The 27460-nt window shown below is 41.9% G+C and overlaps 1 protein-coding gene across 1 annotated transcript in view, besides 5 other annotated features; it reads right to left on the bottom strand.

The window, feature by feature from the left end:
* SHROOM3 (shroom family member 3) overlaps positions 1 to 27460 on the bottom strand; it is a 348025-nt gene that overhangs the window by 82809 nt on the left and 237756 nt on the right. The gene's annotated exons all lie outside the window — the stretch shown is intronic.
* Positions 2298 to 3016: an enhancer, noted in NCBI's record as "H3K4me1 hESC enhancer chr4:77618582-77619300 (GRCh37/hg19 assembly coordinates)". NCBI's record gives its function as "activates a minimal SCP1, AML or CMV promoter by ChIP-STARR-seq in naive H9 embryonic stem cells {active_cell/tissue: H9 hESC(naive)}" and the evidence as "EXISTENCE:reporter gene assay evidence [ECO:0000049][PMID:30033119]".
* Positions 2763 to 2862: an enhancer, noted in NCBI's record as "active region_21630". NCBI's record gives its function as "activates an Ori minimal core promoter by ATAC-STARR-seq in GM12878 lymphoblastoid cells {active_cell/tissue: GM12878}" and the evidence as "EXISTENCE:reporter gene assay evidence [ECO:0000049][PMID:35858748]".
* Positions 10769 to 10948: a silencer, noted in NCBI's record as "silent region_15488". NCBI's record gives its function as "represses an Ori minimal core promoter by ATAC-STARR-seq in GM12878 lymphoblastoid cells {active_cell/tissue: GM12878}" and the evidence as "EXISTENCE:reporter gene assay evidence [ECO:0000049][PMID:35858748]".
* Positions 10769 to 11384: a biological region, named in NCBI's record as "OCT4-H3K27ac hESC enhancer GRCh37_chr4:77610214-77610736".
* Positions 10862 to 11384: an enhancer, noted in NCBI's record as "OCT4-H3K27ac hESC enhancer chr4:77610214-77610736 (GRCh37/hg19 assembly coordinates)". NCBI's record gives its function as "activates a minimal SCP1, AML or CMV promoter by ChIP-STARR-seq in primed H9 embryonic stem cells {active_cell/tissue: H9 hESC(primed)}" and the evidence as "EXISTENCE:reporter gene assay evidence [ECO:0000049][PMID:30033119]".

Below are 27460 nucleotides of genomic sequence, written 5' to 3'. Positions count from 1 at the left end.
TTCCCCCAGTCGCATGCCCCAGGGAGGGCAGGTATCCAAGCATCAGTCCTCAAAGTTGCCATTACCTTATGGAGTGCTCTGAGCCAGGCTGGGGGCCAAACTGTTTCTGCACAGCTTCTTACCATCCTTACAGCCAACCTTGAAGGCAGGTGACTTTCTGCTATTAGTCCCTACTTTATTCATGAGGAAACAGACTCAAAGAAGTGCAGGAAGTTTGTCCAAATGCTGGTGAAAAAAGAATTTGACTCCAGATCTGGCTGATGACAAAGTCTATGCTCTTAACTATGATGTCATAGTCTTAATCTTATTTGAGATTCTCCTTTCTTCCTTGGCCCCATATGGTTCTCTTCCTTGGATGATGCCCAATAAGTATTTGGTTAATAAAAATATGCCGAGTGGACACGAGGCCAGCTTCCTGATGGGTTCCCTGCAGTTATCTATCCTGTCTCATTCGAATGGGAATTACTGTCTTCCCAGAGTACAGCTCTGTTGCTGATATTCTGCTTGGACTACATCAATGTGAATATAACTCAGCCAACGCTCAGACCCTCAGCTGAAGCCACAAAGGGCTAACATCCTGCATCAGGGGAGTCTCATCAAAGGGTAAAGCTGGGGTCACATAGAACACATCCCAGTCCAAATACCTCTGACATGCCTCTCCTAGACTATGCTGCATGGTGTAGTACCATTAATCATCTCCAGAAAAGCACTTTGGAAAGGAGCTACTTGTGGAAAGGAGCAAGAAAGAGAACATGCAACAAGCACGGTGGAAGTAAAGCAGGAAAGTCGATTTGGTAATCCTTCTTCCCTGTTCCCACAAAACATCAGGGAAGGGAGCACGGATGGTTAAGTAGACCCTCTAAAAGGCCATATATACATACCCTATTATAGCAGGAAACATTACTGGACCTGCAGCCAGGACACCTGCACAAGGCCGTCTCTGTAATTGCTATGAGCAAGTCATTTTCATGTTCTGGGCTACTATTTTCTCATGTGTAAAATGAGGAGGTTAGTACAGATGAGCCTGGGGGTCCCTTTACCTTTGACAGTTGATGAACCAAAGGTAAAAAGCAGGGGGAGGGCCTACATGGCAAATCCCAAGTGAGAAAACATGATCTGCGTACCTACATCAACAAGGGATGAGCATGTTCTACATGCAGGCTCCGAGTTGGAATTGGTGTAGAATAAAAGACAGCTTCTGACCTCCAGTCTTGTTGGGGAGGCACACAAAGGATTTGTAGCTGGATCAACCTGGGTTCTAATCTGATCTCTGCCAGTTCCTGGCCACTATTCTCTCTGAACCTCAGGACCTCATCTGTAAAAAGGGGACAAAGTATTATCTACCCTGTGGCTTAATAACCACTGCAAGACAGGTGCTATCATTGTTCAATCAACATGGCCTGCATAAGGGAGATGGATGTGGAAAGTCACCATGGGGAGGGTGACAGGATGGTGGTGTCTTGATGGGTTAATTCCTTAAAAAGGGCAACTACAAATTGCCCAAAACATTTGGGGAGGAATATAAATATTTAAATCCAAAGTGGAGGGGTTTTTTTGCAGATAAGAACAGAAAATATAGGGCATTACCTGAGCTCCTTGGGAATAGATATAGAGGACCCAGTGAGTGGTGTGAAAGAAAGGGCTCCTCAAGGTCAAGGATGACAGAATTAACCTAGAGGAGCTGCCTAGAGGCCACCTCTCACTGGCAGGAGTCGCAGGCACTAGGCAGGGATGGCTGTTGGTGAATGCATCTTCAAGGCTGTCTTTAAAACAGAATGAGTTTGGCCCCAGCTTTTTTCAGCCCCTGAGTCCTTCCTACTTCAGGCTCTGGGGTAGGAGACCCCTCCCCTTTTGTAAGCGAGTGAGGTAAAGGGACTCTGGCTCAGGAAGGTCTCTGAGGGTCCCAATGTAGTCTGTAGGAGCCAGGGTCCTGTCTCCTATCTATATGCAAATAAGTTGCTCCAGCCCTAGACCTGCCTAAAGGAGTGGACATTAAAAATGTAAATGGAGATTGTCATTCATTGGGAAAAAATGGGTCCCTTGCTAAATTTGGCATCAGCTGAGGAATCTTAGCAAAAATGAACTCCCTGCCTTGTTTGTGAGGGAGGCCTAATCCTTACTTTGCCCAAGAGGATTATTGGGTCTTAGAAAGAAGCTCACATGCACTTTTTTTAAGCTCATGCCAAATGCATTTGTGTCCATAATATCCAAGATTCGTTCTGCTTTTTAGGGTATATAATAGACATTCCATGCTATTTAAATGCCTCCAAATATCAAACCTAAATGTTTCCAACCTTTGCTATCACCCAAAGGGGGACTCAGCTTTTCCCAGTGGTTACTTTATATTCTTTGGGAGCACAATTTACATGGACATCAAGGTACCAAACTGCAGCCCATTTGTGGAAAAGTAATGGTTTACAGCTTACAGTAGACCTTTTCTAAGTGTTTGTGACTATAGTTCCATGGGCTGATTTTCTACTTATCCCCTTCATTTTTCCTTTCTCTTAGTTACTATAGGGTAGTGTCATAAATGCTTGAATTCTTTTTTTCCTCATCCTGTATGTTCCTGCTCACCCCAGCACTTTCCTGTGCTCTCCAGGGGAATTCTGGACCCACTGACATACATACCACAAAGTAGAACTGATAAAATCTATGTCCTCAGTTTAGCATGACATTCTCAAAACATTTAAAAACATTACAATTGGCACCTGTGCTGGCTGTACAACATGCAAAGTATTTTTACATAACAAATTTAATCTTTACAGCAACCCTCTGAAATGCTGTCCTCATTTCACAGAAAAAGAAACTGAAGCAAACGTAACTTAAATAACCTGCTCAAGATCACAAAGGAAGTGGTAAAGCTTGGACCCAACCTATTATAAGGCTCCAGAGTGTGCCCTTAACTGCCTTCTCCCACAATCGCATCACTTAAGTGCTTAGTTAGATACCTACAGGGCTGAAAGATCTCTGAAAACAGATTTGCCTTGTTCCAAGAAGAGCATAACAATTCTTCCAGTATTGAATTCCTCAGGAGTGTTGATTTTTGGTGCTTTCTACTAGAAACTACCTCCCCTCACCCTCACCACCAGGGCTGCTTAATTTCCACCTGTAATTCCAAGTCCTGCCTCAACTCTGGGGCCCACCAGACTCTAAATGAGAAGGAATTTAAGAAGCCTCCAAATAGTATGTCAGGAAATAGCTTCAAGACAAACTCTCGGGGCAGAGTACAGTGGCTGACACCTTAATCCCAGTGTTTTGGGAGGTCAAGGTGGGAGGATCACTTGAGGCCAGGAATTTGAGACCAGCCTGGGCAACACAGTGAGACCTCATCTCTTACCAAAAAAAAAAAAAAAAAAATTAATTAGCTGGGTGCGGTGGCATGTGCCTGTGGTCCTAGTTACTCAGGAAGCTGAGATGGGAGGATTGTTTGAGCCCAGGAGTTCGAGGTTGCAGTGAGATATGATTGCACCACTGCACCCCACTTGGGCAACAGAACAAGACCCTGTCTCTTATAAAAACAACAACAAAAACCTCTCGGCTAGTTTTGTTTTCATCTTGAACCTTGAATCCCTATGCTATCCCCCAGTTCCCAGAGCCTGCCTGGTCTTCCAAGCTGGATGTGAAAACATGCCTTTGATGCAAATTCTTTCCAGACTGGAGCCCACCCTTGTTAATGTTGACTAACTTAAGAACAGATGGTATTGGGAACAGAATCTGAGCAGAAAGCAGGTAGAGAAGTGAGTCATCATTTTTATTTGACCAAGCAGAGCAGCCCCTTCCCCCTCAATGGGCATTCACACATGGAAGGGTGACCTCAGGGAGGAGTTTGGCAGGTCAGGGACGCCAGGCCAGGCCAGCCTATGACAGGACATGTCCTGTGAGCAGTCCATCACCCACCATGTCCCCTCCCACTGCAACCCTGATATGTCAAGCCTGGGAAAGGTATAGAACCCACGACAAAGAGAAGGTACTGGACTGTGACCCCATTTCACAAATCCAGCTGCGGATCAATGGCCTCCGCCCCAGCCAGACCTGGCTCAGTAGGGGAGGCAGCCTCCTCTCACTATCACATTCCAGCTGCCAGTAGTGAGGAGGTAACCATGGGAACCGACACAAAGGGCTTAATGTTAGAGGGAAAGAGGCTGGGGGCGATGGTGAAGAGGCTGAGAGGGACTTCAAGTGACAGTCCTGCAATTCTCCTAACTTCAACCATGTGCGTCTATTGTGAGTCAGACTAAAAGACTGAAGTGGAGCTTTTGCACAGCAAAGCAGCCTGGCACAAGGCCTCGAGAGTGTCAGAGACAAGCAGACAGCTAAGATCCTTGTAGGTTCTTCTTCCAGATTTATTTTTTCCCCATCAGAGAGCAGAGTCCTAATAATTTCATTTCCCAGTCATTTTGCCCCAAAATAATACGGCTCATTTGGATGGACATAATTGGTACACAGTGGCACTCTTTCAAATACAGGGCTGCAAGCAACACTTTGCTTAGGGGCTTCTTTCTGCACCATCTGGTTTCAGTCCAGTGTCTCCAAAGGTCTCTGCATGCTGAGGGGCTTCTTCGATGGGTCTGGAAATAGACCAACGTGGCACCACTTGAGTGGCTGAGGAAATGGTCCTGAGATTCTGGCTGCCTAGTTAACTCCACACTGCAATGGAGAGGCTTTGATGTCAGGACCAATAATCCAGAGTATCTTCCACGACACTCAGGACTTTGGGGGAGAAACTAAGTGAAAAGGCTCATATAGGAACAGATACTAGGATCCATATTTATTTAATTACATTTTCCCCTGGGCATCTATACATTATTTTAATGAATTGGTCAAGGTGACTTCGTCTTCATTAAATCAGCAGCGTTTTCAACGTACCATTTGGAACTTATTTTTATTTAAGTTTTAGCTCAAGGTTCTCCAGAATCTGGGAGTTGAGAAAATGCCAATGGAAATAGGAAATATGAAATATCCAGGATCAATGGTAGACTTTTCTTCTTACTGTAACAGTGCTCTGGGGCACATTTCTTACCTTGCTATTTTTTTGGAGACCAAGAAAATATTGCATCTATGTCCATCCCTACATAGACCTCACAAAGCATAGGTCAAATTCTAATAGGCAGCCATGATTCTCCAATTTTTTGTTCACAAATAAGTCGACTGACTTCCTAATTGGAGTCATTGGGGGTAAGGAGCAACGGACAATGTCAGAGAGGACCACCTCACAGGTGGACTTGTGAGGGGCTGGGAAAAGAAAAGACATGTTCATTAGAGCCTTTCCTACAAGCATCCCACAAACCCCCAAAGGTGGTAGACCCATTAACCATTTAAGAACATATTCAAGGAGTCAACCATCCCCCACCACCAGTATTAATCTGCATGCAGCCATAAGCAGGGCACTAGTTAGTTCCACTTATTGGTATAAAACAATCATATCTAAAAGGGAAAGATAGTTGACATCTATTACAGACCTCATCCATTAATTGACAGGATGGTATTGGGTACTAACCCTGGCACCTCCATGCCCTCAGCAAGTTATTTAACCTATGATTTTGGTTTCCTCACCTTTAAAAGGGGATAGTAACAGTGCCTGCCTCATAGGAGTGTGAGGAAGATAAAATCAGCCAGCACAAAACGTATTAGACAGTGCTTGACTCCTAGTAAGTACTCAATAAATGTTAGGAATTAACACCTATCAGGTGCCAGCCTAGTTATATTTACATGTATTCTGTCACTTAATCCTTATAACAGCCTTAACCTAATAAATATTAATACCTCTCTTAAGGTATCATTATCACCATCTTGCAGATGAGGAAACAGCTGCTTAAAGGACTCTCCAAATTACTAGTGTAGCAGAGCTCAGATTCAAACGTAGGTCATTCTACTTGCACAGTCTCTGACCTTTCCACTGTACTCAATTGCCTTTATATAAGACCATTTTGTTTTTGCTATTTTTAGTAAGGAATAACAAGTGAAGCCTTAATGAGAAATGCCAATGTTTAAGAAAATAACATCAATTAAAAGAACTAGGATTTTAAACCTCCACTGTAAGCAGGAGCTTTTAAAACAAACAACAAAACACAAAAAAAAACAAACAAAAAGACTAGCCTGAGACAGACCTCTCTGCTCTGAGAAAAATTCCAAAAGAAATGTGTACACATTCACACTTGTGGCTGGAGTGTCTATGAACCCTTGAGGGTACAATGTCTTATTATTCATCATTGAATTCCCAGAGGCTAATGCGTTCTCAGTAAATGTTTGACAAATGTTTACTGAATGAATTAAACCAACCCAACAACAAAATGCCTCACTTGGAGTTGGCAAAATATATAACATCTTTCCCAAATGCTTTGTTGAACTTAAATTAAATCACTGAAGCTTAATAGATTAAATAAACTATTATAAATTTACCACTCTGTCCAAAGCATTTTACTGAAAAGCATGACGTTAATTTTGATAGAGAGATCGAGTTTTGTTTTTTTTTTCTACCTACATCTTTGGGAAGAGAATATAGTATGTTAACCTTTCATTTGGATTCCCAGAAGATGTTGTGAGCCTCATCTGGGAGCTCAGCTTCGACAATCATCATTAAATCAGTCCTCAGATCAGTCCTCAGGAAAAAAAAAAAAAAAAAAAGGAGTTTGCCTAGTGCGTAGTTCCTCTCTTTGGAGTTTACTTCTGCTGGCAAAACCAAACCCCAGTAGTATTTTGATCACGTACACAAGAACTTCACATTTTAAATCCCCACAACCTTAAAAAATGACTCATCAAGGGCCAGGTGCAGTGGCTCACACCTGTAATCCCAGCACTTTGGGAGGCTGGGGCAGGCAGATCACGAGGTCAAGAGATTGAGACCATCCTGGCCAACATGGTGAAACCCAGTCTCTACTAAAAATACAAAAATAATTAGCTGGGTATAGTGGCATGTGCCTGTAGTCCCAGCTACTTGGGAGGCTGAGGCAGGAGAATCGCTTGAACCCGGGAGGTGGAGGCTGCAGTGAGCCAAGATTGTGCCACTGCACTCCAGCCTGGGCAACACAGCAAGACTCTGTCTTGTTGCTTTAAAAAAAAAAAAAAAAAAAAAAACAAACTTATCAAAATGAAGGTATGCATAGTAATAATGATAAGGATACCAGTTAATATAAGATCCTTGATAATCTTAAATGATATGGCTTTCACAAAAGTGTAAATACTTTTTCATCAACTCCAAAATCACATATTATATTTATCACAGTGCCTGGAAATAGTAGTTGACATTTACTGAGTTCTTACTAAGCTAAGTACCTTCAGTCATTAACTCAATCTTTGCAACAACCCTATGAAGATGTTCTATTATTGTCCAATGTCTTGCAGCTCAGAGGTATTTATTTAATATCTTGTCCAGGGTAATATATGCCTAGAGGCAGATGTGGGATGTATACTCTTGTGTAACTCTAGAACCTAAGTTTTTCTTCTAATTCAGGTAATGCTTTGCATACAATAAAATGCACAGGTCTTAGGTGTTCAGTTCGATGGGTGTGGATAATTGTGTATACCTATGAAACCATCACGAAAAACAAAACATAAAACATTTCCATCATTCCAGAAAATCCCTTCTTATCTCTTTCTAGTCAGTCCCTACCCACTGGCAACCACTGACTTCTGTCATAGATTAGTTTTGCCTATTCTAGCACTTCATGAATAGAATTGCTTATTATTATTTTGTATCTGGCTGCTTTCAGTTAACGTGCTCTTGAGACTCATCCAGGTTTTTGTATCAAGAGTTCATTCCCATTGATCGCTGAGTCGTATTCATTGTATGGATGTGCCACTGTTTCTTTACCCATTTTCCTGTTGATGGATGTAGGGTTGTTTCCAGGTATTGGTCATTATAAATAAGGTTGCTATGAACATTCTGTACAAGTCATTGGTGGACATTTGTTTTCACCTATCTTGGGTAAATACCTAGGCGTGGAAATGTTGGGTCATAGGTTGGTGTATGTTTAACTTTACAACAAACTTAATTTCTTAACCCCTGTACTCTACACCTTCAGAATGGCACTAGCTTATTAACATGTTTTATTTTGCCTCTTATAAGACGAGTTCCTGAGGGCAGGGAACCCATCGCCAGTTCCTGGGATGCCTCCCACACAGTAAATGATTGCTGAATAAATGAATGACCATTGTTCATGCCCCTATTCCTTCTTTGGGTGTTACAACAGCATAAGAAAACTAGTTTCTGACATGCATGAAGAAATCCCACAAGCTGAAGGCTGTGAAATGGAGGCATTGCTCATTCAGGCAAGGTGAAGACTGCCCAGCCACCAGGCTCTACCTCCCAATCTTCTTTCTGACATGACCTTCCCTAGAAAGTGAACCCCTCTCAGTGATCCTGCAGGAGGAAACAGCTCCTGTTCAAGTGATACTACAGAAGGGGAGGAAGGTGTCAAGGCAATTGAGGTCACACAGTGGTTAGAATTACAGGATACTTCTGTCAAACAGAAAGTCAGAAGAAGCGGCAACCCATGAAATCCTGACCTTCTGGAAGTCACCAGCAAAACCTCAGCACTGCTGGACTCCAGGGAAACATCCTCGAACAGAACTTACAAGAATAATTGATTTTGGTCAAAGGTCTGTATGGGTTCTGCATGAAAAGGGAAAGCAAGAATAAACATTGAAGAGACAGTAGAATGTTGATGTTTTAAAAATGTAACCAGATTTAACACATAAGACAGGATTCTAAAAATAACACTAGGTTAAAAGTGGAGAAAACTCAGGCACACTCTTCACACACACCCTGCCCACCTTTCAGGCAAAACTTTTAATTCCCATGAATCAGTTCATTTACTTTAAAATCACAGAATTTATACTGTAATTCACCTATACCTTCCCAGAAAGCAGTTAAATCATTGTTGATTTTCTATCCATAATAGAAAAGGATTGGTAACTCCTAAGAATAATTTAACGTATCTGTTACCAAAAGAAGAACTTTGTTTCACATAAATCAAAACAGGGCTCCACCTCCTACTGGGCTCAGGTACTTTTGGCAACCTTAATTTGCTTTGGTCCCAGGTCACAGAGGACCTGGTCCCAGGTCAAAATTGAGGAATTCTAAACAAATTTTAGAATTCCTCAATTTTGAGGTTCAGAGTAGTGACCTAGTCTTCCTTTATCCAGACAGTACTGCACTGAAGCCATCCTAGGCAGATGGATGTTTATCCTATTCTTAAAATCTCCAGGGAAGTGAATTCTCTACAACATCCCTTGGTAACCTTCTCCAGGGTTTTATCAAATGTATGGTGAGGAAGTTCTGATGCAGAAGCCAATAAACATATTAACCATATGAGCCAAGCCACAAGCACTGGAAAGGGGTATGTGTTTGGGCACCTCGCCTTAATGGTAGAGAGATGTATTTACAAAATAGGCTGTACAAACAGAAACCATTTGCTGGGAGCAGATGTGGGAAGTTGATTCAAGAGAAATTGCCACAATAAATTCTGTTCCAACTCATGGGCAATGTGAATAAGTTATTGTTGGTTATAACATTTTTTTAAGTAAGTTTATTTCCTTGTCAATTCCTAGCTTTAGTTCCTAAACCAGGATTGTTAGCAATGGAGAAAAAAAAAAGTCCATAGCTGAAAAGTTTTCAAATGACTAGGATTCTGTGAAAAACTAGGTCTTAGCAAACAAAACATAGATGTTGTTATAAGAGTTTATTTCTTTCTCTGTATATTACACCTTTTCTGCAACGATTGTGTAATATTTTTATAATCAGAAAAAAAAAGGTAACCATCAAAATAAATTTAAAATGTAAACCAACTTCTGGTGAAATTTTTTGGGGGAAAGATCTAGCCATATATCCGACCAGGGTGCTTTTAACTGGAAACGGACATTTAACTAGGCTTTAAAACAACTAATTAAAAACAGAAAATGCACAGAACTCTCTCTGGCAGCCTCTGTGCTAGGACTTCCTGTTGCACCCCCCGATATCACAGCAATCTCTCCATGGAGATGACCCGCATGCAGGGCACCCATTTGCTCCCAGTGCAGAAGCTCCCGTGCACACAGTGCGCCACAACAACACTACTATTTAAAGGGAGAGGGGAAAAAGGTAATGCCAAAATACATCCTAGAGGAAGAGAAATACATCCCACCCCCAGAGAGTGCTCCAGGTGTTGAAATTTTGTAACCACTCCCCTCCCCCACCAGCAAAAGTTTTATTCCTCTGGCAATTCGGAGTAAAGCGAGCGTCAGGTAGAATTTCATTTTCATGATTTAAGTGTTGCTGCAGCACAAGGAACACACTATTTAAGTAACTGTCTTAAGATCTGGAGCAAGTGGGGGTTGGGGGTAGGCGTGCCCCTCAACGCACTTCAGGAGCCTTTCCTACAGAAACAAATCCAGTAAAATTAAGAAAGGCAAGGAGTTCTCAACTCAGCAGGGGCCCTGGTGGGAAGCAATTTATCAAAATTAAAATATTTCACAGATCATTTCTTCCGAAAAGTTTTCATGCTGTCAATAATCAACAATTATTTTCCTCTTGGAGTGGCAGCTACTGCCTCTCTGATAAAAAGCCAAGGCCTAGGAGTGTCAGGAGACCCTCGGAGCACGCCACCTGCCCCCATCAGCCGGGGTGCTGGCCGTGAAAGCCCCTGGGAGCCATCCTCCAGACAGGGCTTTCCAGAGTCGCCGCAGAGCCCGAAATAGACGCGCTCCAGAAAGCAGCCGGCCGGCCCCCGCCTCCCTCTCCGTGCCCAGCCGCCCTCCTCACTCACCATCGCCGCTCGCCTCGCGGCCGCCGCCCCCGGGCTGCTCGGGGCTCCAGGCCGACGCCAAGTTCAAACTTCGCCGCCGCTCCGAGGAGGCGGCGCGCGGCATCGCCGGCGGGGCCCAACGCGCTCAACAATGGGCGGCCCAGCAGCGCCCTGCGCCACCGCGCCACCGCGCCGCGGCTACAGCTGCACGGTGGGCCGGGGCAGCGCGGCTGGAGGACGCTGATCCCGCGCGGCGCGCCGAGGGTGCGGGGCGCTCGCCCACCTCTCGTCCCGCCCGGGCCCGCTCAGTCCACCCCGCGCCCGCCGCACCCGAGGGGCCGCGCTGGCTCGGCGCTGGCTCGGCGCTCGCTCGCCACCAGGTAATCCCACAGGAAGCCTCCCGGATTGGCCCGGGAGCTCAGGACCGGATTTGCATTTCAATGGCAAAGAAGGCTCCCTAAGGTTTGAAAACGGATTCTGGGGTGGAAGCGTCGCGCTCCACTCGCCCCTCCGCGGTCCTTGGGTCCTTACGGTATTAAGGGGACCGGACCGAAGCACACACCCTCAGTCCCTCTGCCCATTCAATCAGAAAGGTGCCTTAATTAACCTCCCCCCGTTGTAAAATGCAGAGGAATCCAAAAGCAAAATATCAACTTTAAGAAGCCCGCGCTCGCTTTTCAGAGGCTATACAGTTAGTAATTGATCAAATGAAGCATGAATGAAGCAAGGTAAAAAGTTCACAGCTAAAAAAAAAAAAAAAAAGCTCGCATTACAAGGAAAATAACCATCCTTTTTCTCAGCATGCCCTCTTCTCAGTGTAAGTCACAGCAGAGATGCAGGTGGTGGTGAATGCCGCTGAAGCCTTCCTTCCGGGCCTGTTTTTGTTTCCATAAGCATCGTCTCTGATTAGACAAGAGACGTGATTCTTTCGGTCGTCATGACTGTAATTTCGAGAGATTTTGGATTCAGCTTTGCAAACTTTGGAATTTTAGAAAATATATCCATTTGCATTTGTTTTGCATTTATGATATAGGCGTCCAGTTAATATTCTAAAGGAAGGGATGGTGCTAGTTTAAGTTTCATCTTTCTTCAAAGGTTCTTCCAGCCTCTTTCAACGGAGGTAGGAATTTTTTCCCCTCAGAGTCCTCTCTTAATTGCTCTCACGTGTCACCTCCAGAGATGAAAGTAACAGTAAGGTTTGAAATTGGCTTTATTCTCATTCAAGCAGAATCCCTGTTGTTAAATGTCCAGGTTCTATATTTAAGGTAATAAATATGCATATAGACACAGAGAAGACCTCACTAGGTAGGAAATAGAAACCTCCCTTACCAAACAGCTGATACCACATTTACCTTTACTTGTCTGTGCTCTTATATCCTGACAGAATGCAGGAGCATTAGCAGCCATGGCAACCACTGAATAAACCTCTTTACTGAAACCTTCATGGACAGGCTCCTCCCTGCCATAAAGTATTATCCTCCTTAAAATTGTATTTTGTTTTACCTATGGTATCACAAGCAGGTATCAACACATACACAGCTGTCACACAGTCATGGGGTAACCACAAACATTGTTGCTAGGCATTGGAAGCAGAGAGGTTAATATGGTTTGTTCTGTGTCCTCGTGTCCTGTGGCAATCTTGTTTGGGGGAGAGGGAGGTGATGTCCAGAACTTAAGCTTTGAAGAAGTGGTCAGCCCTTGCAGTTTATAACGCACATTGCCGCTGCCATTGCGCGTGGGGGGGAGTAAGAAGTATTAGCTGGAGAACACAGCCAGGAGCTCTGTGGGCAGAACAGATAAGGCCTCCTCTCCTGCTGCTGCTTTATCTTGTTTTCTAAGTGCTCTGGGTCAGGTGAAATCTCATAAGGGTGGAACAGATCCCTCTACTTCTGTGTGAAACATCACTGTAAATTGGTGATTAAAAACACAGTTTGGGTCCAAATCTCACCTCCCACACAGCATGGATGTTACACCAGTGAAATTCATCACTATGACCAGAGGTCCCTGGGCTTCCTTTGTAACATAGATTCTGGAAAAACACTTTTAACTTGTATCTGCAATGTAGAGGCATCATCCGATATTTTTAGATGGAAGCAAACAACTTGTCTCATGGGATCAAAAGTAAGACATGAAGAAATTTCAGCAACAATACAAAATTATGCTAATGTCTCTCTGCATGAGCTGGGGGTTAGTTTGCTCAACTGGTACCTCCGTTCTCCTTGTCTGTCCCTTCCTCCACAAGACGAAAGAATGACCTGAAATAGTTACACATATCAAGTGTGTGTATGTGTAAACTCCCAGCCACTATTAAAGATGTTCTCTGTAAAATCACACTGCCCTTTAGTTCCTGTCTTAAGACTGCTTTCAGAAATAATGCATCACATTAGAATCGAAAGCATTTTACTTTTTATTAAAATCAAATATATTAATGAAGAAATAAAGCTTTAAAAATGCGAAAATATTTTGTGAGAAAGTTACACATAGGAAAAAGGTGCACAGCCTGTCTTAGAAAGGGTGTGCATGGCCAGTCTGGAACTTGTAATTTGTACATTTTTTCTTTTGTTTAAAAGTTTTTATTTTAAATATTTTAATGGACAGATGATTCACATGCCATTAAAATTTACACTTTTCAAAAGACGTTTTTAAATAGGTTATCATTTTTTGCTCCCTTTCCTTCGCCAAAGCCACCTCTGGTGCTGGAGTGTGTTGTGGGAAGGAAAGACCAGAGAGACTGGAATAAGTCCCCAACATGGTCCTAGAGCAGCACAGCACCCACCTGCACAGAGGTACACCAGACTGAGGTGTGCAAGGTCCCGCAGGTGGTCCTGAGTCAAAACCAGGGAGTCAGTGACAGAACCCACAACACTGGCAGCCAGAACAGCACTGTGTGCATTTATGCCAAGTCAGTTTCCTCCCTTCTCTCTTAAACATTTCAACCTACAAATCCAACTGTCAGTGAAAGATAAATATAATAACCTGTAAGAAATATTTAAAATCACATCAAATTAGAGTATGCTTATTGAGGATCTAGTATATTCAGAGGGTCTGATTCATATAGATATTGAGAAGTTTGTTTTTTTACTACAGTTGATTAGTTGGGAGGGACCTGTGAGAATGAGTATCTTTTTTCAGACAAAAAGCTCTAGAAATTTCAGATTATTGTCATACATCTCAAAATTCTAGATTCAGCACTTATTCTTTGAATTATTTCATCTTAATTTAAAGTCTAATACATTTTCAATGTAAGTCTAATACATTTAATTAATTGTATATTTAAAAAGACTATATCTAGAAATCATACATTATTTGGGTTCTCAATTTATTCACAAGTTTAGCTTTTTTTATATATATTATGGCAATTTGGTTTTGTAACATATGTTATACTTTAAAATATTCAACTAAATTTCACTTAGAAATAGTCTACGAGGCTGGGCTCATGCCTATAATCCCAGCACTTTGGGAGGCTGAGGTGGGAGGATTGCTCAAGACCAGTCTGGGCAACATAGGGGGACGCCATCTCTACAAAAAATAAAAATAAAAAAATTAGCCAGGCGTGGTGGCATGCACCTGTGGTCCTAGCTACTAATAATAGGGAGGCTGAGGCAGGAGGATCATTTGTACCTAGGAGTTTGAAGCTGCAGTGAGCTAGGGTTGTGTCACTGCACTCCAGTGTGAGCAACAGAGCAAGACGCTGCCTCTAAAAAAAAAATGGCTATCATTACTTACTTCTATACTTTCTTTTATTTTATTTTGAGATGGAGTCTCGCTCTGTCACCCAGGCTGGAGTGCAGTGGTGCAATCTCAGCTCACTGCAACCTCTGCCTCCCTTGTTCAAGCGATTCTCCTGCCTCCCGAGTAGCTGGGATTACAGGTGCATACCACAATGCCTGGCTAATTTTTGTACTTTTAGTAGAGATGGGTTTCACCATGTTGGCCAGGCTGGTCTTGAACTCCTGACCTCAAGTGATCTGCCCGTGTCAGCCTCCCAAAATGCTGGGATTACAGGCGTGAGCCACCGTGCCCAGCCTATACTTTAAAATATTACTAAATTTTACTTAGAAATAGTCTACCATTATTTCTTACCAATTCAGTTTGACATTCCTTCTATTATTACAACTAAAGCTTTGATGTGAAAAACAATTATTTGAAATGTAGGAATCTTTGCTAAATAATTATTAACTCTTTCTTGTCACAGTCATACAATAAATTCCCTGGTTCATCTATACCAAGCTTGTCCAACCCTCAGCTTACAGGCCGCATGTGGCCCAGGATAGCTTTGAATGTGGTCCAGCACAAATTCATGAACTTTCTTAAAACATTATGGGATTTTTTTTTTGTGATTTTTTTTTGTTTTTTAGCTCATCAGCTATCGTTAGTGTTAGTGTATTTTATGTGTGGCCCAAGACAATTCTTCTTCTTCCAGTGTGTCCCAGGGAAGCCAAAAGATTGGACACCCCTGCTCTATACTGTTCTTTTCAATGTTGACACCTTAGAGAAACAACTTATATATAAGTTGAAAGTCAGTTTTAGGAACTGTTTAATGACCAATATAAACAACACACTACAAAGAAAGAACACACTTGAAACATAGATTGTTTGCTTAGGAGAGAAAATATTAGGAGGAACGAATGATGTGCTGCTTTCTCAAATGGGTGTTGGGGTTTACTGTGAACAATATATAGCTTCTAGCATAATATTCACTTTAATAAATATTTTGATTTTTTGGAACCACTCACAACAAAATGAAAAACAAGTGAACAACCATCCTAGGTGTCCTAGAAGAAGATGTTAAAATGGAAACTTTAGGGAAATGCATTTAAGGCCATGCCAACCCCTTAGAAATGATCTATTTCATGTAGTGAACATGAAGGAGGAAAACTCTATAATTTCTTTCAGCGTCTCAGAGTTACTTTGTCTTTTCAAATACCTTTTAACATCTCTATCACAGTCTTTTCCCGTAAATAGGCCAGTGAGCCCCCAGATCCTCTGAGTTGATACTGGCCTCACCCTTTCTCTGGATAAGGTCTCTTTGTGTGGCAGCTGTTTCACAGTGACCAAAGCACCTCCAGGTTTTCTGTTGTTCTTTATAGCCCCAGGGTCCCAAGTAAAGGCATTAATGCATCCTGGCTATTATCCCGAAAGCTATCTTGCACAGGTGAGAACCCAAAGAAAAGAGAGAGGAGGACTAGGTAGATGAGAGTTATTCACTATCTATGCTACCAAAGTATGTTAGCACAGCAGTCAACTACAATGCGCATGGAGCCTGTATCAAACCTGTATAGGTTTAAACAGAGGCAAAAAGGTTAGGAAAGAACAGAGCAACAATATTAGCAGAATGAGACCTACAGGGATAGCCTCAGAGGGTGAAGGTAGCCAGCAAGTTCTTGTCCTTATGGAGACACGGAACACAAAGGACCCTGTCAAGGCTATGGGGGTCACTGGTTAAATAACAGTCACTCAGGTCAGCAGCTCCAAGTCATTAAGGAGACAAGAATTGACAGCATTCTTTTTGGGAAGTCTTGGTTGAAAGATTAGAAATGCATCCTGTAAATTGGAAGCAACCTAAATGTTCATGTAGAAAATAGTTAAATTAATTGCAAAGGATATTATGCAGCATTTAAAGTGAAAGAAGGGGGTCCTATATGTGCTGACATGGAGAGATGTCCACATTATCTAGTGAAAAAGCTTCCCATTTGCTGTCTACATCCACCAGTACATACAATATTTGTTACATGTTTTATAAATATCCAGAAAAACTTCATGAAGGAAAGCTAAACTCTTCTTGGAGAGTGGCATTGCAGGAAGAAGAATTCTGGCAGATAAATAAAAATTTATCATTTGTTTTAAACACTTCTATAGACTTTGAGGATTTTTTAAAAACAAGAACCATGATTTACTCTTTGAATTACATTTGTATAATAAACATTTTAATAACTTTAAAAAGCATCCTGGGTTCTAAAGTAGTTCCATCAAATAAGTTAATCTTGATTAACTGAATATTTGACTTTCTGCCTACCCTTTTCTATTCCTTTCTTATGCTGAGGCATAAGACAACCCAAGAAAAATGTTCAGAGTCAAAACTCAACTGAACTGTCACACCTTGAAGATAAATGCAATTTTCCAAGAGCCTGGGTCCTCCAAGGCTAACGGAGAAAGAAAGAAAAAAAGGTAGAAAATGAAAAATAGAGAAGGGGAAGAAAGAGAGAGAGAAAAGAGATGGAGGAGGAATGGGGAAGAGAAAGGGGGAAAGAATGAGGGAAATTCGCTGGAGGGTAAAGGCAAGGAAGGAGGTCAGGAGAAACACTATAAGGAGAAAAAGCAAACTTCTATGAATGAGAATTTGTGCGAGAACACAAACATTACATGACCAAGGAAGAACACACCCCAGGCTGTTAATATAAGTTACCTGGGAAAGGTGGGGCAGAGAAATGATTAACTTTATGGTTTCATTTATGTTGTGTTCTAGTTATCTGTTACAACATCAAATAAAATTTTTTTAAAAAATAAAACACATAATAGATGATTATGAAAAAAAAACTATTCAGCAAAACTACGTTGACTGTAACTTGGGCATGTCACAGCCTAAAACTTCTACCCTTCACCTACATTCATGGGCAAATAAATATGATACTTGTTATCAGAGGCTTTTATGTAATGTGGTAAAACAAGGGCTTTCAGATAAAATTTTAATGGAAAGCTGTGAAATTCCTCAAGTTATCAGATTTATATGCCACCAGCATCTTGGATGGTACTGTCTAGAAAAGTAAATAAAAATCAGCTATTACTGCATTGACTGGTAAAAACTGTCCACACTGGTCACTGCTCACATATGCACATTTTCCTCACTTGTCATTGCTATGTCACCAACCACATTATACCCTTTTCTTTCCTGGAGACAAGGAATTAATTTCTATGGCTAGAATAATTTGACAGCATAATATAAGGAGAGCTCAGTGCTAGACGTGACTTAGATAATCATCAAACTTTTCATTCCACTTATATTTTAGCTGGCAGAGTATCATTCAGGAAGTTTCAAAATAGCTTAAGATAAGGGAATTTTCTCATTCTCCTTTTTTTTTTTCCTTCTTACCTTTCCTTTCTCTCTCCTTGACCCATTTCAATTCAACTGCCACCTACTGAGAACCTGTTATATGCCAGGGATAGGGATATCAAGATGGATGAGGTCCAACCCTAACTTCAAGGAACTCACAGTGTAGTGGAAAACCCAGGTATCTAAAGAAATTATTTCAGTCCCATGTGCTAAGGATGGTGGAGTGTGGTGGTCAAAAGTGCGGACTGAATTCAAGATCTTGCCTGCTGGGGGTGACGTCAGTTGATCTCACTAAGCCTCAGTTTTTCCTCTGTGAAAATGGTAATTACATCTTCCACAGAAGGTTTTTATAAAAATTAATATGGGATAATCATTGAGTGTGTGTGTTTGGGGCCAAGGTAACAGTGAGATATTAACTGCTTACTCATAACATTGACTTTTCCAGTAACCTTCATCTTTCTTCCCAGTCAGTGTCATTCACTGACCAAAGAAAAACAAGGGAACACAACAGAACTCATAGAACAAAGGAATGCATGTGCCCGACTTAAGATGTGCAAGAATACTCAATTAGAGCCAGTTTTTCTTCCCAGCAGACATTACAGCTTTCTAGGACTAACAAAGAAAGGCAAGGAGAGCCAGAGGGAAAGTGGAGGGGAGTTAGGAGTGTTATGTAGGGCAAGATGAAAGCTCCAGAGAAGCAGAGAGTTGAGGGCACAAAGGATGTGGGCCCTGGTCCCAGGCAAGACTCCGGAGAACTGACTCAGTCCCAGAGTCCCTGCGAGCCCAGCATGGAGTGGGAATGAAAGAAATGTCTGTGTGGTACACCTGGGCTGGAGAGAGTGTTATACCTTCCACCAATCTTTCCAGTCCAAAGTGGTTCAGGAGAGGCAAATTGTTTCTGGTAATCCAAGAGGGCACAGATTCCTAATCCATCTGAAAAGGCTGCAGATACCAACATCCCGACACCAGACACCAACCAGACACTAGCATGGGGAATGGTGACAAGGATACCAAAGGTTCAATCTCATCCAGACACATACACACACACACACACACACACACACACACACACACACACCCTAGACTCTGCCTAAGCTTCTTACAACTTAGCTGCAACCCCAGGAGCTAGAGGGGATCCTGAATTGGCTGATACTAAGTTTCTGTCTCCCAGCTGAATGAGGTCTCAAAATAGAAATTATGGTCAGTTTTTTTTTTTTAAAGAAACAGTAACATTTCTCCCTTAATTATGTCTGTGGTTCAATATTTGTACCCAGCAAACATGCTAAGTGTTCAATACTATGCCTGGCACATGAGAGCTGAAAATAGTGGCTATGATAATTTTGATAAATAGTTCTATGTGTTGGTAGCAAACAGAGGAGAGGATATTTATGTCAGGGAAGGATGCACAGGACATGCTTGGGAGAGGTTCTGAAGGATGTGCATGAACTTGCTAACTAAGAGGAGGGGAGGAATAGTTCAGGGCAGAAAGTTTGAAGATCTCAAAGCATCAAACAGCACAGGCCAGTTGTGGAACTGCAAGTGACATCACTAGGGCATGGGCAGGTGGCAGTTGATATAGATGGAGAGGCAGATGGTGGAAGATAATGGCCCTTTAGGCCATCTTCAAGATCTGTACTTTATTTTGTAGGCAAAGAGAAATCACTACAACTTTTATACCAGTGTCATGATCAGATCTGCACTGTTCAAGAAGTCATGCTGACAGCATGGGGAGGATATTGAATGGGAGGTGCCGGGCTCATTGATTTTGATCATAATGACTTTGCCACCAAGGTGGAATCCCATTTCAGTTGAGACAGTATTGCATCATGGAATTAATGGTTAAAAGTGTAGTCTCTGAAGCAGAATAGGTAAATTTGAGTCCTGGCTGCAGCGCTTATGATGTGATCTTGTGATGACCACTTACCCCATGAAGCAGTTTCTCACCTACAAAATGGTAGCTAAACATTGAATCTGAATCACAGAGTTGCTGAAGTTCTAGATGTAATACTTTATATGAAGCACTTAGGATAGTCCCTGCTATAAAGGAAGTGCTTATTGAATTTTAGCTCTTATTAATCAGGCAGCACTTAACATGTATGGGGGTGAGTGACGATTATGTGGGAGAAATAGGGTAATGTCTTTCACTTATGGTATTTATTTAAATTTTGGTCCCCGAGCAAAATTTCAGAGAAGAAAATCCACTTTGTAAATTCACTTGTAAAAGGTATAGGTCGGGCCAGGTACAGTGGCTTACGCCTGTAATCCCAGTACTTTGGGAGGCCGAGGCGGGCAGATCGTGAGGTCAGGAGATCAAGACCAACCTGGCTAACACAGTGAAACCCCGTGTCTACTAAAATACAAAAAATTAGCCGGGCGTGGTGGTGGGCGCCTGTAGTCCCAGCTACTCGGTAGGCTGAGGCAGGAGAATGGCGTGAACCCAGGAGGCGGAGCTTGCAGTGAGAAGAGATTGCGCCACTGTACTCCAGTCTGGGCAACAGAGCGAGACTCCGTCTCAAAAAAAAAAAAAAAAGGTATAGGTCAAGCTGCAATCCAAACAACAAAACCTCACCAGCTTAAAACTGATTCTGGTTGTTTGCGCTGGAGAAAGTGTTTTTCCTTTTCAACCTTGAAGCTCTCAACAGGGTTGATGTGAATTACTAACAGCTGCCACCTCCTGTTAGTGGCGACAACCTTCTGGAAGAAAGTGAAGTGTGCTTGGTATGTGAAGGGCATTTGACTCTTTGAAAAAGACATGTGATCTAGGTGACAATGAGTAATGATGGCCCAGAATCCTGAAAGGTAAAACTCCACAAGTGACAGGTCCTTAACAGCATGGGTTCAACTGGAGTGCATTCAAATACCGGTAGGTCCTTGTCACCGAGGAGAATGTGCCTGGGGAGTGTGGGGAGGTGGTTATGTGCAGGATGGACAGGCTGAGCTGGATGGCATTCAGAACCTAACCTTTGCCTGAGCAGAAGTGAGAATATTATTTTCTGTTGAGACAAGTGAGTATTTTAATTGATGATGTCCAAAAAGCACAAGACTTGAGGACTGAATCTTTTCTGGGGCATAATCCCATATGTTCTAATGGAAGCTTTTTTTTTTCTTCTAGAAAAATATTCATGTTTTAACGACATAGATGAAGATAAGTAAAGGCTTGGGGGAGCTATGAGGAAGGGGAAGCATAGAAGATTTAAGCATGGAATTTGGTACAGTTCCTATCCTTGGCTTACAACTTGTATTTTAACAAATACTGCTTCCCTGTCTGAGAAGCTGCCTGATGACTGGGTGGGGAAAAAGAGCCAGGGAAACAGTGTAGGAGATAATGAGATGAAAAGGATGAAAGACTAGGCCAAGAGTAGACCTGGGATGGAAGACACTAGCGTGCCTGGAGGGCAGTGGGTGGGGGATTTTAAGACTAGGTTGAGGTATCTGACTCTAATCTTATGTGATAAGTAAGGAGACAGGAGAACTAGAAATAGAGAAAGGTGACACTGTCATAAACTGGCATGCAAGTTGAACAAATGACTTGTAGAAATCTGTTTTAATGACTGGTAGAATCATGTTTTTCCATTGCTACAAACTTATCACTTATTTATTGTTAAGAGCAGCTTCGCTGACCAAGAGAATCATCAAATACACCAACGATTTCTTCATAACAATAAAAAACATCAACAACAAAACTAAAATTACTTTTAAAAAAAATTGCTCGGCTGGGTGGGGTGGCTCATGCCTGTAATCCCAGCACTTTGGGAGGCCGAGGCAGGCAGATGACCTGAGGTCAGGAGTTTGAGACCAGCCTGGCCAACATGGTGAAACCCTGTCTCTACTTAAAATACAAAAAATTAGCCGGGCATGGTGGCAGGCACCTGTAATCCCAGCTACTCGGGAGGCTGAGGCAGGAGAATTGCTTGAACCTGGGAGGCGGAGGTTGCAGTGAGCCAGGATCGCGCCATTGCACTCCAGCCTGAGGAACAAAAGCAAGACTTCGTCTCAAAAAAATAAATAAAAAATAAAATTGCTTATTGATTTGGCACTTCATGTCTTTGCGTCATATCAGAATTTTGGGCCTTTCAATTTTATTCATAGCATCAAAACACCCATCCGACTGACTCAGTTGTCTTCTTAAGACTTTGGTATATAAAGTCTTGACTACATATAAATATTTAAAGGTCATCAACATTGCCATACACTGCTTTAAGAAAACCCAAAGTGCCATGAAAAATAAACTTCAAGAGATAAAAGCAAGAAAAGTTGCTAGGGTAAAACTAATTGGGGTTCCTGAAATGCAAATGACTTCCTTTGATGATTTACTCCTACTGAGGTCCAGACAATATGATATTGAATGTCCACAAATTTTCTAAAAGGGGCTAAGTCTTATTTGGTGCTCTATGTCAACAAAAAAACCCTTATCTTTACTTGTAAACCTTAATATTTATGTTTGAAAAGAAAAATTTTCCATTAGCTAGTTAGCAGTTTCATTGGACTTGAAGTGCTGGCCTCCTTGGCTCTCAAAGGAAAAACAGAAATTAAATGTAGCTCCTGTTTACTTTTGTTGGCAGTCTCACTTTAATTGTTGACTTAAAAAAGCTAATTCACCTCTCTTATTCTCTAAAAACCTACAGACAATGTGCTTCTAAGAGGGATTCTAGCCAGTAACCACCACGATAACTCTTCAGAGTACTTAATTTTCTAGGATCTCTTTCATTTGCCTCAAATCACACATTTTATTTTAGACTTTCACAAGCAGATTCACGCAAGAGGAAAATTTTTCTTGACTTTCCAGTTTATTTGCTTTTAAGCACAACTTTCTCCCCGTAGGTGTTCAGGAAACTGTTCTACTCCAAGCCGGATGTGAGTATTATGCCACATACTTTAGCGCTCTTGCCTAGAAACGAAAAGATAAGATGGGGGAAAAATATACTTTTAAAATTCTTATAGTGGGCACATTTGGGCGGTGTCCAACATGTGCTTGTATTGGCCAAAGGCAAGAAGATAACAGAGTCCTGAGCAGATTCTAGCAGGCTCTTGGCTGCCATTTCTTGATGGTAAACCAAAAATCATGGCAATACAGACAGACACACTTGCCCACAAAGAGTTGCGCCATTGTCTATTGGTAAGAGAAGCAGCCACCATGTATTTTGTGCTGCCTGGTCATTCACCTCGCCTGGTTATTTATATACTTTCTTTCTAATTTTTACAATAATACCTTAAGGTAGCTATTATCAGTCCTGTTTTATAGAAGAGAAAACGAAGCTCAACTTTTAAGTAACTTCCCAAGGTCCAACAGTAAAGAAGGGAGAGAATGAAGACTCAGAGAAGTCTGCCCAACCCCAAAGCCCGTGCTTTTCTCTCACACCACCCTGGATAACCAAGATGTGCTGTAGGTTAAACTATTTTAATAAGAGGACAAAGTTTGCTATCTCCTAGAAGGTAAAGGAAAGTGGACACATTCATTCTGTACAGGCAAATACTTTATTCCTATTCAGGGCACTAAGAAAAACCAAGCTACTTCTAAACCCTTTTTACCTCGTAAGTCTAATGGGGGATGGACAAAGCCCCAGATGTCTCTAGAATGATTTTTCCTCAGTAAATGGGAATTTATTCAAATTTTCTTTAAAAATTGTACCTTTTCACATAACTTTGCCTGATTTCATCCTAACTGGCTAAGCTATAACGGTCAGAAATTTTCTTTTTCCTTTTCCTTTTTTTTTTTTTTTTTTTTTTTGTGAGACGGAGTCTCGCTCTGTCGCCCAGGCTGGAGTGCAGTGGCGCCATCTCTGCTCACTGCAAGCTCCGCCTCCCGGGTTCACGCCATTCTCCTGCCTCAGCCTCCCGAGTAGCTGGGACTACAGGCGCCGGCCATCATGTCCGGCTAATTTTTTGTATTTTTAGTAGAGACAGGGTTTCACTGTGTTAGCCAGGATGGTCTCGCTCTCCAAGGGTCAGAGTTTTTCTAACGACCTTTAATGAGTCGAATAATTACCATTTTACAAGCATGCCCTGGTTTCCCTCCTCCATTTTCCTTTGTCTGGGTTTCGATCCTTTCCTTAACGCCAATCTCTGCTATGGAAATTCTAGCCAACCTCCCAGGACCTGCAAAATATATTCCTTTCTCAATGAAATGCCTCTGATCCTCATCCAAAAGCAACTTCTCTCTCTTCTAAGTGTTCAAAACTGCATCATTCAATCATCTACTATAGCCTTTATCACGTTTTAACTTTAATAAATCTATTGATACCATTAAAACAAAAATCTTCCTCCTAGATGAAAAGTGTTTTAGGAGCAGGGATTCTGCCTCATTCATCTCTGATGCCACATGGTGAATAGCACACACAGGTATGGTTGAATTCATGTTCCTAAAACACTAGACACATGCCCACCATCTCATTTTTATAAGGCTAGGCTATCCTCCTTGTCCCCCTTTGTTTTTGTAAGTCCCATTCTTCCAAGATCTTTTCCCAGTTGCTCCAGCCATTTTTTCCCTGAATTTATGAACCAAATTTTTGGTACTTGTCATAAAACTGCTGAGAAGCATATGCGTATGCCCTGTATTCCCAACGAGATCTACTCCTGGAGCTAATTTATCTGAATATTATTCTTGCTACTGACAACAACTTCCATTTATTGACCAGTGTCTCAGGAAGTCTGCTGAGTGCTTTATTTTCCTTATCCTGTTTAATCCCTTGAATAACTTTAGGGTCCCCTGACTTTGTTCCTCAGCCTGTATCAGCTCTCAGCCTTCTCTGCTATCATCTATCTACTTACCTACCTATCTATCTATCCTCTAACTACGTATCTAATGATTGATTGATGACAGGGTCTCACTCTGTCACCCAGGCTGGATTACAGTGGCATGATCGCAGCTCACTGCAGCCTCAGAGGGATCCTTGGGCTTAAGGGATTCTTCTGCCTCAGACTCCTGAGTAAGTGAGACTACAGGCACACATCATCATGACCAGATAATCTTTAAATTTTTTATAAAAATGGGGCCTCTATGTTGCCTAGGCTGGTCTTGAATTCCTGGCCTCAAGTGATCCTCCCATCTTGGCCTTCCAGAGTGCTGGGATTATGGGCATCAGCCATCGCGCCTGGCCTCTACTTATAATATACTCCAGGATTTTGACAACTAGACAGTAAGATTCTTGAGGGAAGGGACTACATCTTTCTTACTCTTCTGGGTACCTACAGTGTCTAGTACAAGGCATGGTAGATAATAGATCTCCAATAAACATTCCTTTGGAGTTTTCAAACTACTGAGATCACAAAACAAATAATGCTTTGAAAACTGTTTTTAGAAATACCAGTGGTACTTCAATATCATGAATTAATGAGTGAGAACCCTGCTTCTGTCAGTATGGTAGTTGCCAGGTTAAGAATTCTGCTTTTTGTCCCCTTATCCAGCATGAGATCCCTGTTCTTCATAAATGGGTGTGTTTTCACCGGTGCTAATACGCATCTGGACTTTGAGCTTCCCTCCTACTCCCTACACACACCCCACCTTGTTTATCTCTGGTCTATGTTCATATTCATGTCTGAAGGGAACATTGGTCTCTTCCTCATGTGTAGGAATGAATAAATCTGACAGAACCTAAAAGCATACCCAGAGGAAACTGTCTAAGCCCATTATTTATATCCCTCGTTTTCTTATTAACTAACTGCCAGATTTCAGAAAACTGGAGCCAACCCAAGAAGGACCCCTGGCAGCCGGTATGAACCCTAAGACCAGAGACTAGTATGCCACAGTTGCTGAAGAGTGGGGGGAATGGGGAGGATGAGTGGGGAGAAGGTAAGAAATGGCTTCTAGAAACTTGACATGGCCGGGTGTGGTGGCTCACGCCTGTAATCCCAGCACTTTGGGAGGCCGAGGCAGGCGGATCACTTGAGCCCAGAAGTTCAAGACCAGCCTGGGCAACATGGAGAAACCCTGGCTCTACAAAAAATGCAAAAATTAGCTGGGCATGGTGATGTGTGCCTGTAGTCCCAGCTACTTGGGAGGCTGAGGTGGGAGGATCACTTGAGCCTGGGGACGCAGCGTTTGCAGTGAGCTGAGATTGTGGCAGCCTGGGCAATGGAGCAAGACCCTGTGTCAAAACAAAAAAAAAAAAAAAAAAAAAAGGAAGGAAGGAAGGAAAGAAAGAAAGAAAGAGAAAGAGAGAGAAGAAAATAAATTTGACATATGATCTAGGAAAAAAGGATTATTCTGCTTCCTGCTATTAGAGGACAACTCAGCCTCAATCCTCACGTTATGAGGAGTCAGAGAGGTGGCTAAAGATTCAAGGATGTGAATGAGTTCCTGTCTCACCTACCTGAAAATGTGTAGGAGAGAAGAAAAGATAAATAACCTATAGAAATATAGGATCACTGTTCATAGAAAACAGGTATCTCTTATATTAAAAATACTTTAAAATTTTGACTTTTCGACATATGAATTGATGAAAACATTATACAGAATCAGAAAAGTCCATCTTTTTAATTCTAATTTACAAACAACAGTAAGGCTGGGCATGGTGGCTCATGCCTGTAATCCTAGCACTTTGGGAAGTAGAGGTGGGAGGATCGCTTGAGGCCAGGAGTTTCAGACCAGCCTGGTCAACATAGCAAGACCCCTGTCTCTACAAAAGAAAAAAAAAGTAGTTGGGTGTGGTGGCACATACCTGTAATCCTAGCTACTTGGGAGTCTGAGGCAGGAGGATCACTTGACCCCAGGAGTTCAATGTTACAGTGAGCTACGATTGCGCCACTGCAGTCTAGCTTAGGCAACAAAGTGAAACCCTGTCTCAAAATAAACAAATAAATAAATATTTTTAAAACACAACAGTAAAGTGGGGACACGGGGGTTGTTTAATGGATATAGAGTTTCAGTTTTGCAAGATGAAAAAGTTCAGGAGATCTGTTGTACCACAATGTGAATATACTTAATACTACTGAATTGCACGCTTATAAGTGGTGAAGGTGGTAAATTTTATGTTATGTATTTTTCATCACAATTAAAATTTTTTTTAACAAAAACACAGTAAAGAACAAGTATGAAAAAGAAGAAAATAGCCTAATTCATTCTGAAGAGGAAAATACACTATTGCTCAATTTGGCTGCTATTTAAACCCCACCCCACTCCTCCACCCTTGGCTTTTTTCTCTCAGCAAGCTGCCTAGCAGTTACTCTTAAACATCCTTTCTCTTTATGTAGACAAAAAGGACAAAAAACAGAAAAATATAAGACTTTACAGAAACAGAGAGGAGAACTGTGGATCTTCTTCAGAAAAAAAAAATCTTTCTTTCTAAACCATTGGCCAATAAGATTATTTTTAAAATTACCTTGGTATAATATATAATGGCAAAAGAAGCTTTTGAAGACCCAAATAAGACTATATTAAGTCCCTAATCACACAGTGTGATTCCAACTCAAGTCTGATAGAGATTCATAGAGCTAACCGTTGAAGACAGTCATGGCGACAGGCAAAATGAGAAGCTTAAGGAACCCAACTCAATTACTTATTACCTGGGCTACCTACCCACCCTCACCCCATCCCACTTTTTCTTTCTTATCCAGTGGGGAGGCTAAGCTGTTTATATTGACTGATTTAATTAGGGAAGGGACTTTTCAAAAAATCTGGCCTAGTTTTGAGTTTATTTTTGAAATGGGTGTTTCTTGATCAAAGCGACAAACAGCAAATGTTGTTTTGATG

This window comes from Homo sapiens, chromosome 4 (assembly GCF_000001405.40).
Source record: "Homo sapiens chromosome 4, GRCh38.p14 Primary Assembly".
NCBI classification, from domain to species: Eukaryota; Metazoa; Chordata; class Mammalia; order Primates; family Hominidae; genus Homo; species Homo sapiens.
The sequence above is the reverse complement of the archived record's forward strand: the minus strand, read 5'-3'. Positions and strand labels throughout refer to the sequence as shown.